Source organism: Homo sapiens, chromosome 16 (assembly GCF_000001405.40).
Source record: "Homo sapiens chromosome 16, GRCh38.p14 Primary Assembly".
Classification (NCBI taxonomy): Eukaryota; Metazoa; Chordata; class Mammalia; order Primates; family Hominidae; genus Homo; species Homo sapiens.
The window spans coordinates 33904228-33916761 of NC_000016.10; the positions used below are offsets into that span (position 1 = coordinate 33904228).

At 52.2% G+C, this 12534-nt stretch overlaps 1 pseudogene; it reads right to left on the reverse strand.

Annotated features, from left to right (window-relative positions):
* ARHGAP23P1 (Rho GTPase activating protein 23 pseudogene 1) overlaps window positions 1204–12534 on the reverse strand; it is a 31487-nt pseudogene continuing 20156 nt past the window's right edge.

Consider the following 12534-nt stretch of genomic DNA (forward strand, 5'->3'; position numbering starts at 1 on the left):
TAAAAAATTCCTTAAATATTTGGTAGAATTTAACAGTGAAACCATCTGGTCCTGAAGTTTTCATTGTTGGGGGGTTTTAAATTACATATTCAATTTCTTTAGGAGGTATAGGACTATTCAGGTTATCTATTTTTTCTTAAGTGAGTTTTGGCAGTCTGAATCTTTCAAAGAATTGGTCTATTTCATCTAAGTTATTGAATTTATGGGCAACTTTATGCCCATAAATTCAATAACTTAGGGGTCTATAGCCAGGCGTGGTGACTCACGCCTGTAATCCCAGCACTTTGGGAGGCCAAGGGGGGCGGATCACAATGTCAGGAGATCAAGACCATCCTGGCTAACCTGGTGAAACCCCATCTCCACTAAAAATACAAAAAATTAGCTGGACATGATGGTGGGCACCTGTAGTCCCAGCTACTCGGGAGGCTGAGGCAGGAGAATGGTGTGAACCCAGGAGGCGGAGCTTGCAGTGAGCCGAGATGGTGCCACTGCACTCCAGCCTGGGTGACACAGCAAGACTCCATCTCAAAAAAATAAATAAATAAAAAATAAAAAATAACTTAGGGGTCTGTAGTGATGTCCCTCTTTCATCCCTGATACTGATAATCTGTGCCATCTTTCTTTTTATTCTGTTAGTCTGGCTAGAGGTTTATCAATTTCATTGATTTTTTTTCAAAGAACCAGCTTTTGGTTTCATTGCTTTTCTTCAACTGTTTTCAATTTCATGGATTTCTGCTCCTCTCTTTATTTCCTTCTGCTTGCTTTAGGCTCTCCAAAGACCTTAAAGGATATCTGTTTTATTTATTATAGCACCCCACAGATTTACTGATATTCCCATTTTATAGATGAGGAAGCTAAGGATCAGAAAGTGGTTAAGTAATTTGCCCAATGTCCCAAACTACTAAATGGTGGAGCCAGAACTCAAACCCAGGACTGTCTGACTCCAGAGTCTGTGCTTCTAACTACTGAGTGACATTGCCTCCTAGCCACATAACTCCCAGGCCAAGTCCTTCTACTACAGCAGATGCCTCACCAAACACTGCCAAGGTAAGCAACTTCTCAGCTTACCTTGGGCACTCGGTACCTCCTGCCTTCCCTCCCAGGGACCATCAACTTTCCCCACGGTCCAATTGCCATTCCCTCAATTCTCTTGAACAAAAACCAAAGTGGGCTGGCTTGTACAGGGATCAAGCCTTCAGAATTGCCTTCGTACGTACCTTGGACTTGACTGAACTATAGGTGGTAGAATCTGTTGGTGAAAGACAGAAAAAAAAATGAAAGTTGCATCAGGGAAAAAGAAAGTTGAGTCTTATGCACACAATTCCTCTCCTCAAAGGCTTCAGAAACCAGGGAATTCTGAAACATGAGATCTCCCCAGGCCCTAGGAGTATGACGGACTTCTGATGTCCATCTATGGGAAAGGGATGGAGCAGAAAATGATGTTAATTGCCACTTCCTCTAGAGGCAGGAAGTGACATCAGGCTGCCAGCCACTGGCCCCTCATTTACCGAAGGCTAAGGGCAAGGGGGCATTGTCTTTGAGCCTAGTTCCTCTCTCCTTCCCCGCCTGTCCCTTTTACTCTGAAGCACTGGAGAGAAAATGCTAAATATCAGGTGCAGTCCATGGAAACCACCACAGTGAAACACAGCAAATCACAGATGCTCTGGAGAAATGGAGACCACACAGTGCACCTCCAGACCTGGGGTCACCCTGCCTCATGGGCAGGGTCCCCAGTTATCACCCAGTTATGAAGGAGACTAAAAGCATGATTTCTATGGGACTTGGGTCCCACTCCCTTAATATCACTGGGGTGGAGAAGGAACCAGAGACACATCCTTGTGGGTCCTCTCCAAGGCTAGAGAGGGAGCAGGTTGGTCCAAGGGCCTCCTGGGGTCCCACAGGGTAGTGGGCAGGTGTGGTTAATCCACACTCTCTGGCAGGCAAGTTAGATGCCCCCCTCTCCGGACCCCTCCCCCTGCACAAGGTGAGAAAAGCAAGATGGGCGATCACACATGACACACGGGGCGCGGGGGGCGGTGAGTGATTAGAAGAGACATGGGGTCCCTCTCTGCCGTCCCACCCCCATGTCTTCTGGCCCCTCCTGAGCCTGCCTCTGGTGACTAGGGAGCTCCTGTGTGCCTCTGTCAGAGACAAACAGAAATGCTAAAACTAAAGAGAGGGACAACAATGGCGGGGGGAGGAGTCAGTGGCTGCAGCCACAAAGGGAGTGGCCCTCATCTGTCTCTGAGCATGTAAATCATCTGTCCTCTGCCATGAGAGGGCCACAGGCCCTGCAAACAGGACTTAGGGCCCCGGTTTCTTAAGCAGGAGGAGGCGGCCCATTGGGGTGACTGAGGCAGGAGTTAGAGATAAAGAGAAGCTTCTGGGCGTGGCATCGCTGGTCTCCAGAGAGTGTCGGTCCCCAGCCCGGATGACTAGCAGTGGTGAGACTCGGCAAAGAGAGGCCACAAGGTCTGTGGCACTGCAGAAGGGCAGCAATTCGATGCCCCGGTGTCCAGGCAACGGGGAGGGCCCTGGGCCCAGTGAGTGCCTCCTTCCTCCTGAGAAGGGGCTCTAGGATGGGAGGGGCATGGACTGCTGGGGTAAGTGGATAAAAAGCAGGGGTAACTGGCATGTCAGTGTGGGGTCCTCACAGTCCGGGACATTCTGCCTGCCTCTGTGCCCACCCAGCCTTCTTATAATCACCCGCCACTGTTAGTGACCGAGGCCGCGACACTGCACTGTACTCTTTAAATCTCCAACAGGTCTGCTGGAGGAGGGGAGGGGGAGGAGAAGAGAAAGGGGTGGGAGGAGAGCACGGGGAGAGGAGGAGGGAGAGGTGGGGGTGCAAGGAAAAAAGGAAGAAAAATTAAAAAGAGGAACATGCCCAGAGGGACACAGCCAGCCCATGAGAAATTAAAGGCTGAGGAAAGAAACCAGTGAGAGAGGGGGAACAAAGCTCCAACCCTGCCTGGGGCGGGGCAGCTGCACAGACAGGAGGTGGGCACGGGGCAAGCTGGACTTCCCCAGGGAGGTAGAAGGCCCCCAACAGCCCCATCTCCATGGTGGCTGGCAGGGGAGGGCCCCGCTGGGGTGGCACAGGGAAGCTGGGCATCTGGCCAGGTATCTGGGACCCTCAGGAATGCAGTGTCCACCCTCCTGCCTCCCCACTCCCAGGCCCCTGTGCTCACCTGACCCCGGGTCACCAGGGGGCACTGTCCTGCCAATGTTGGGCAGGAGGTACTCAATGTTGGGCACTGCCTGAGGCTCCTTGCTGCCCACAGGGGTCTGCGAACAGGAGGAGGGGTCAACTGGCATGCCCTCGGATGCTGGGCTGCCGACCCCCCAGAGGGGGGTGCCCTGATGACAGAGCCCGTGTCTCCTCCATCAGACTGGGCTCACTGGGGCAGGGACCGTCTCCCTCATCAGCCGGGTGCTCTTAAGGATGATTCCTACATGTCCCCTGTTAGACAGCTTTGTGCCTTCCTCAACATCTCAGAACCACGAAGGCCAGAGCGGCCCCTTCAGCTAGGGGCAGGAGCTGTGTCTCCCGCACTAGACTGGAACTCCTCCAACCTAAGTCCTTCTCAGTAGCCTGGAGGGCAGGAGCTGCCTTTACTCCTGAATTGGGTTACCTCTGAGCAAGGCCTGTATCTCCCCCATTTAGACTGGAGATTCCTGAAGGCAAGCTTTGTGCTTATCTATCAGACTAGGGGCTCCTGAGGAGAGGGTCTGTGTTTCCTCCATCAGACTTGAGGGAAGCCTCAAGGACAGACACCTTCCCCAGCTTAAGTCTCGCTGCCTGCCCCACCCCCAAGGACTGGGGCTCACCCCAGACCAGCCCCCATGCCAGCCCAGCCCACGGCATCACTTACTCTCTCTCTCCCTTGTCCTCTTTGTCACTGAAGAACCAGTCTGACTGCAGAGAAGACAAAAGGAAGGGATGAAATCAGCATGGGAAAGAAGAGTCTCTTCCACCTGCTCATTCCAGAGGACCCACTCAGGCGGCAAGGGGCGCCTCTCTCTCAACAAACCCCAGGCTGGTGGGGCTGCAAAAGAGGGCTCAGAGGGAGCTTGATGGATGCTAAAACCTGACTCCACAGACTATGAAAAACCCTTGGGGAGAGAAAAGGTGGGACCCCAGTGTGGGAGGAGACACGGCAGTGAGTGGGAGCGGCCACGTCAGACGGGAGATAGGCTTAGGGAGAGCTTCGCTTTTACTTGCTTTTCTCTAAACACTGTCCTGGGCACACCCCTATGGTATACTCCCCACAGCGAGCCGGGGGGCAGGGAGGCACCAGTGCCGTTAGTGTTGGCCAGGTCCATGGCTGTGACAGCCGAGCATGCCCCAGGCCACCTGCCACCCATGGGTGCCACACTGACAACAGGGGTGTCACATACTCAGCCCAGAAAAGGAAAATGACAGGAGAAAGGTGTTGGAGGTTTCCTGACGGGCAGGAGGCGAGAGCTTTCTCATAAAGGCCAAACAAGAGACAAAATAAAGACCCCCACAGTTTAATATATTTTGTAAAATTTGAGAATCTTGAAGATAAAATTCTAAGTTTTCTGAAAAAAAAATCCAGATTGCTTATAAATGAACACGTATCACAGGTACTTGGAACTTTCAGCAGCAAGACACAAGAAGACAAGACAAGAAAGTAAGTTTTGATGTGTGGAAGGAACCTAGAATTTTATACCCTGCTAAACTCTCATTTAAAAAAATGAGAATGTAAAATAAAGCTATTCTTTTTTTTTTTTTTCCAACAGAATCTCACTCTGTCACCCAGGCTGGAGTGCAGTGGTGCAATCTTGGCTCTCTGCAACCTCTGCCTCCTGTGTTCAAGTGATTCTCTGGCTTCAGCCTCCCAAGTAGCTGGGATTACAGGTGCATGCCATCACGCCTGGATAATTTTTGTATTTTTAGTAGAGATGGGGTTTCGTCATGTTGGCCAGACTGGTCTCAACTCCTGACCTCAAGTGATCCACCTACCTCCACCTCCCAAAGTGCTGGGATTACAGGCATACCACAGATTGTTTTAATCACCCCTTAAGTGAACCTCCTGCTCTCTGGAGCCACCACACCTGGCCTTGAAATAAAGCTATCCTGAGACAGCAGAAAATTTTTTACACAAAGACTCTCTTAATTGAATACTTGAGCAAGTAAAGAGATGGACTTCGGCAAGCTCCAAGAAATAACTAAGGCACTTTTGGCTTTTATTGTATTTATTAATTTATTTTTGAGATAGGGTCTCTCGCTGTTATCCAGGTTGGAATGCTGTGGCATGATCCTAGCTCACTGTACCCTTGAACACCTGGGCTCAAGAGATTCTCCCACCTCAGCCTCCTGAATAGCTGGGACTACAGGCATGTGCCACCTTGCACAGCTAATTAAAAAAAAATTGTAGATTTTGGGATTACAAGCATGAGCCACTGCACCCACCACTTTTGGCTTTTAGATGTGGTGGAAGGAAGACACAGAAACTGATAAGCATTAGAAATTGACAGTGACAGGCTGGGTGCAGTGACTCACACCTGTAATCCCAGCACTTTGGGAGGCTGAGGTGGGTGGATCACCTGAGGTCAGGAGTTTGAGACCAACCTGGCCAACATGGTGAAACCCCATCTCTACTAAAAATATAAAAATTAGCTGGGCATGGTTGTGCACACCTGTAATCCCAGCTACTCGGGAGGGTGAGGTGGGGGAATCACTTGAACCCGGGAGGCAGAGGTTGCAGTGAGCTGAGGTCGCACCACTGTACTCCAGCCTGGACAACAAGAGTGAAACTCCATTTCAAAAAAAATAAATGAATAAAAATTAAGTCAATTACCCTTTACCCCCCTCAACACCTATGAAAGAACAGGAACAGGCAATTTATAATCTCATTATGTAGACTTAAAACACACAAAGAATATTATATATATTTAAGGATAGCCATGCATTTACAATAAGTGGAAGGTGTCCTGGAAGGACACATATTAGCCTATTAAGAGTGGGCACCTAGGGGAATGAAGAGGGGAAACAAGGGGACTTGCCTGAGCATGCGCCATGAGCCTCAGTTATTATTGCTCATGATCTGACATGTGATTAAATCAAACAGCACAGGAAGGCCAGAAGGGAAACAAGAAAGAGATAGAAGAGAAGAGAGCGAAGGAAGATAAGAAAAATGCAAGCTCTGACTGGGCACAGTGGCTCACACCTGTAGTCCCAGCACTTTGGGAGGCTGAGGCAGGTGCATCAGCTGAGGTCAGGAGTTCAATACCAGCCTGGCCAACAGGGTGAAACCCCAGCTCTACTAAAAATACAAAAATTAGCCTGGCATGGTGGCGTGCGCCCATAATCCCAGCTACTTGGGGGTGCTGAGGTGGATCACTTGAACCCAGGAGCTGGAGGCTGCAGTGAGTGGAGACTGCGCCGTTGCACTCCAGCCTGGGCGACAGAGTGAGACTCTGTCTCAAAAAAAAAAAAAAAGAAAAGAAAAAGAAAAATGGAAGCTCTGGAGTCAGTTATCTTGGTTCGAGTTCACCTTAGCCAAGTTACTTTCCCTCTGTAAGTCTATTTACTTATCTCTAAAATGGGCATGATGTGAGTACCTCCTTCTAGGCCTGAGGAGGATTGAGATGAAATACTGTATGGAAAATGTTGAGTGCAGCACGTTGTTAATGTATAATAGATGTCAGCTACCGTTATTCAAAAGTGCGGCTTCCAGAGACAGGCTGACCAGGGGGAGCCTGAGGATTGGCCCAAAGAAGCCAGCTGTTAACTCGGGTTGGAAGGTGCCCAGAAGTACTCTGCAAGCCACAGCATCTACAGGAAGTGCCCGGGTGGCCACGGCTCTCAAGAGGAATCCACACTAGTTCCTGCCACCCTGTTTCTGCACATGCTGTTCTTTCCGCCTGGGATGCCCTTTCTCCCTGCTCTGCCTGGCTAAGTTCTCATCATGGTCCTCTAAGGCAGTTCAAGAACTCCATGACTACGACCCCAGCCCTGCACCCAGGGCCAGGGTGGGTCCTTTTGTGGGGCTTCCTTGGACATAGCCCAGAGCAAAAAGAGATGCAGCTCTTACTCTGATAAACATTATTAAATGAATAAATGAATGAGAAACATCATTTTATGGATTTTTTTTTGTGTGTGTGTGGCAGGGTCTCACTCTGTCACCCAGGCTGGAGTGCAGTGTCGCAATCTCGGCTCACTGCAGCCTCCCACCTCAGCCCCCCAAGTAGTTGAGACCACAGACACGCACCACCACACCCGCTGGCAATATTCCTTCTGAGCAGGTTCCCATTCACCTCCGTGTTTCCAGCATGGGGATCTGTCTCTGGCGTGGAATAATGACCACGAGGAAGAGGATGACATTCAGTTCTCACACAACACTTAGGACCTGCCAGGCACCACCGTGAGTGCTTTAGCAGACATTCACAACAATGTGAGGTAAACAGTATTGTCATCTCTACTTTACAGGTGTGGAGACTGAGGCACAGCAGGTAAGGAACTTGTCCAAGGCCACACAGCACATAGGAGCAGGCTGGCCCTAGAGCCACTGCCGTCAATCTCCCACCCCAGGGGGCACTTGGCAATGTCTGGAGACATTTTTTATTGTGACAACTAGAGTGATATTCCCAGCATCCAGCAGGTAGAAGCCAGCGATTCTGCTAAATGTCCTATAACACACAGAACAGCCTCCCACAATAAAGACTTATCTGGACCTCAGTGGTCACTAGTGCTGAAGCTGAGAAACATTAGGTGTCACTGCCTTTGCTGAGTGAGTCCCTGAGCAAATGCCCTGGGTGATCTTTGTTTGGGTTCCACTTGACTTTGTAAACATAGGTAGAGGCTCCTGGCAACTTGCCCGCTGCAAGATCAGACATCCAGGTTTGCTCTCCTCTCTGCTCTGCCATTATCTTGCTGCGTGGCCCTGGGCAAGTCGCTGTTCCTCTTTACCCCTCAGTTGCCACCCTCTTTCCGACCTGAAGACTGGTCTGGGTGCCCCAAGTGACAGCAGCACTGCCCTGGCTATGGAGCCTCTGGGCTAGACAGAGCTGGCACGCTTGGGTGGGCAGGCTTTCAGGGCTTGCAGAGTGGGTGGCTCATTCCCTTGACAATCATCCAGGGCTGGTTACGTTCAAATGCCAAGGAGGCAGAGAAGGGAAGGACACTAGCTCAGTTAGCTCTCGGGAATGAATCTCTGAGTAGAAAAGCCCAGCCTGGCCGGGCGTGATGGCTCAAACCTGTAATCCCAGCACTTTGGAAGGCCGAGATGGGAGGATTGCTTGAGTCCAGGAGTTCAAGACTAGCCCTGGCAACATAGTAAGACCTCATCTCTACAAAAGAATACAAAAATTAGCCAGTTGGTGTGGTGGTGGCATCTCTAGTCCCAGCTACTCAGGAGGCTGAGATGGCAGGATCGCCTGAGCCTGGAAGTGGGCCATATTTGCCCACTGCACTCCAGTGTGGGCGACAGACTGACTCTATCAAAAAAAAAAAAAAAAAAAAAAAAAAAAAAAAAACAGAAAGCGAAAAGAAAGAGAGAGAAAGAAAGAGAAAGAAAAGCCCAGCCTGATATAACCTCAATTAGCAATTTACTCATTCATTTATACTCCACAAACACTGAGTATCCAGAGTATCCACTGTGTGCCAGGCGCTAGTGTCAGTGCTAAATGAGACAAACTCCACCTTCTCCACCCTGCCCAGAGCAGGGACTCCCCCTTGGGGCTTTGGCCTCCTTCCTCCCTGAAGACTGCAGTTCCTGACACCTCAGCTGACTTCAGACCTTGGGCTTCCAGGGGCTGCTCCAGGAGCACAGGGCCAGACACCCACTCTTCCCTGCTGCTGCCCCCAAAACACACCCTCCTGGGAGGTTCCGGGGCTCCCTGGTGCCCTGGAGAGCTAAGCTTTCCCAAGGCCTCACCAGGATCCCGGACGCTGCAGGGCAGCTCTGGCCTCCCAGACAGTTCTGGAGTGGTGTTCCCAGTGTCCGGATGCAGCAGGCTGTGATGCTCCCTCCTGTGGCTCGGAGCCCTGAGCATGCAGTGAAGGAGGAGATGGGCAAGCAAGGCTGTTAACATGGCTCAGCTGCCCACCACCTCGCATCCTTACCCTGGCCCCCTCCCTCCGTCCCAAGCCAGCTCAAGGAGGGACCTAGGAGTCTGGCCTTTGGGTTGATAGCAGGAGGAAAACACAGGCTTTGGTCAGTCAGATCTGGCTTGAAATCTTGGGCTGCCACTTATTAGCTGTGTGACCATGAGCAAGTTGCTTTGCCTCTCTGAGCCTGTTTCCTCCTCTGTAAAATGGGGGTGATAGGGCCCAGCTTTCCTTCCCTAAAGTGTCTAGGGTGCTTGGGACTGAGGCTTCCCTTCCTCTGACCAGCTGCCAGTCTTATTTCCCCTGGCAGGAGGGGCTCTGTTCTCATCCTCTGTGGGCTGTAACAAGAATTGGAAATGGAAAATCTATGATTCATAATGACATCTGTGTGTGCCCCAGAAGGCGGCAGTGCTGCCTTAGGGTTGGGCTCTGGAAGACCAAGGCCTCCTGAGCCCTCTGCTGGCCACTCTGGGTTCTCCTCCGCCCATGCACGGTAACAAGAACCTACAGGACCACGGGCTGTTGGCATCCAGGAAGCCATGAGAAGGGAGGTGGCCAGCCCAGTACATGCCAAGCACTGGTGCAGGATCCTGCCTCAGGCCAAGGCCCTGTGCCTTGCCCCATCCACCCCTTGTTACCATGGACATCACCACTACCTCCCCAAAACCTCAGTGGGGCCAGCAGGGAAAGTCACTAGAGCCGGGGCCTCCTGATGTCAGGCCAGACCTTGGCCCCCGTCTGCTCGTGTCTGCCAGGACACCTCTCCAGGGGCCACCTTCTGAAGCTGCCCCTTCTGCCCTCCACCTGTAGCACCTTCCCTGCCCTTCCTCCTCTTCTGCCTTTCCCAGGCATCTTGGACGCTCGGGGGCCTCTTGACTCTCCTGCTGGGGACACAACATCCCAGGGCAGCAAGGATTCCAGGATCCATTCCTGCCTTGCCTTGAAATGCAGCCCATGGCTTTGGAGGAGTATATACCACCCTAGCAGCATGCTCTAAAGCTGCCGAGCCCTTCCTGGGGCACACCCCGCCAGGCTGAGCAAGAGTGAGGGGCTCAGAGGAACATGGCCTGGGCCCCAGGGGCTGCCGGGTGACCCCCGGAACAGGGGCTTACGTGCTGGATCAGTGTCTCCACGATCTTGTAGCGGTCAGGCATGTGGGTCACCATGTCTGTCATGTTGCCCTCAGACGTCCTCACCAGTGTCCGCCCAAAGACCAGGGCCAGGTTCCAGAGTTCCATCTGGGCAGCAGGGAAAGCAGGTCACTGTCAACATCCTGAACTCAGTCCTCCCTCACTCTGGCCCCTAAGGCCTCTGTCCCCAACTACATCCTCACCAGTCCCCAGCTTAGAGGGTGGACACCCCCTTGTATGGGCATGGAGATGCTTGATGAGTAGAGCACAGGCCAGATTTCAGCCCCTTTCATCCCCAGGCCCAGCAGCCATGAGCAGTGCCCAACCTGCACACCTATACAGGGCAGCCCTGAGTGGTCAGTGCCAGCAGTGGGAGACCCTGCAGTAGGAAACATGTTGGAGGTCCCAGGGGTTATTTTAGGCCTGGGAAAAAATCCAATCACTTCCAGGTGCCTGTAATCCCAGCTACTCCGGAGGCTGAGGCAGGAGAATTGCTTGAACCCGGGAGGTGAAGGTTGCAGTGAGCTGAGATCGTGCCAAGGCACTGCAGACTGAGTGGCAGAGTGAGACTTCGTCTCAAAAAAACAAACAAACAAAAAACACAAAAAATCCTATCACTCCCCTCATTTTCTCCACTGCAGAACCAGAAGGCATAAGGGGTTTGATGAGGAAAATGCAATGCGAGGGACTTGAGCTAACTCGGAGGATGGCAATGCATCAGATACGGGGAGCCGGGGTTCCCTGCCTCTGGAAAGCCCTCAGAAACTCAGGAGATGGCTCTCTGGGGGAAAGCACTGACCAGCATGTAGGAGCGGGATGGGGACGGAGCAGTCATAGGAGGAGGGCGTGCCTAGAGGGGCCTGAGTTATTGGACCTGCAGGAGCTCAGTGCGTGCTGAGGGCCCCCACACAGTAAGTCCGTGCTTGCCTCCCCCAGACTCCATGCGGGACTCCTACCCACCTTGTTTTTCTCAGAGTGGTCAGCGATGGTCTTGAGATGGCCCACAAGGAATTTGAGTGTTTCATAGTAGTGTCCTGGGAGATCCCGGATCTGAGCAGGAGAGAGGAGGGGCATGGGGACAGGCTGTAAGGGCCTGCCCCTGTCCCCCGTCACCACCATGCCCCAAAGATCTCCCACTACCATGCCTCAGGGAGTCTGGAACCTATCCTCTAACCCCCCGTTCTCTTGTGTGGATGGGGAAACTGATGCCCTGAGTGGAGCAGGGCAAGGCCACAGGGGTCGTGGGTAACACCGGACTCCCTGCCTCCTGGGACAGAGGTGCTCAGGCAGCTGCCCCACCTCGTGCCTGGCAGCACCTCTCTCTCCTTACCAGCTTCCGCAGCGTCCTCATCCGCTCCCGCGCGTCCTCAATGCAGTTGGCCTCGATGAAGTCGTTGTATTTGTCTAAAACACAGCAGAGACTCTTTAGAGAGGTAGGGGCAGCACCTTACCCTGTTCTCCAGGCCGAGGGCCCTGCTGGGAGGGCTGTGTTTTGAACTCCTCCAGTTCGGGGGCTCCAGCATGGGCGACAGCCTCTTGTGTATGTGAACACACCCACCACAGCTGCACTTACCACAGCTGCACTCACCACAGCTGCACTCACCACAGCTACACTCGGGTGTGCACCTGACCTGGGGTAGCCCAGCTGTGTTCATTTGGGAGGCAATACGACCTGAGGTGCATGCTGATCGCAGGAAAGGGGTCCATGCCCCCGTCTCCAGGACATGGACACCAAGGTTCAGCAGGTCAGAAGAGAAGGGCACCTGGAGAGGAGGAGGGGCTTCAGACACCCTCGACCAAGGATTCCCCCAACTCCCTTCAGAACAATTCCATGGGGACCTTTAAAGAATGGAACATGATAAGCCTATTCTGAAATTCATCTGGATGAGCTAATGCACAAAGACAGCCAGGAATAGTTTTTAAAAAAAGAGTAACGCGGGAGGATCTGCCCTACCAGGGACTGAAACATCCTGAATGGATGGCACAGCTGAAGCCGGCTGGCACGGCAGAAAAGGCAGAGCAATGTTAAGGCTAGAAAGGGGGGAAGTGGGCCATGTGGATATTTATTATATGATAAAGGCAGCACTTCCAATCGGGGGGAGGGATGGGGGCCTCAACAGATGTCCCCGGGACAAATGGCTACCATCGGGGGCGGGGGGGATCATTTCTAGCTCACAATACACAAATGCAATCACACGGCAGAGCCAATTGTGAAAATTATAAAAGCACTGGGGAAAAAATAAGAAAATATTTTTATAATCCTAAGGCCATCCTAAACATGAGATGCAGAATCCATGAAGAAAAGATGAACAGCTTTGGTCACAT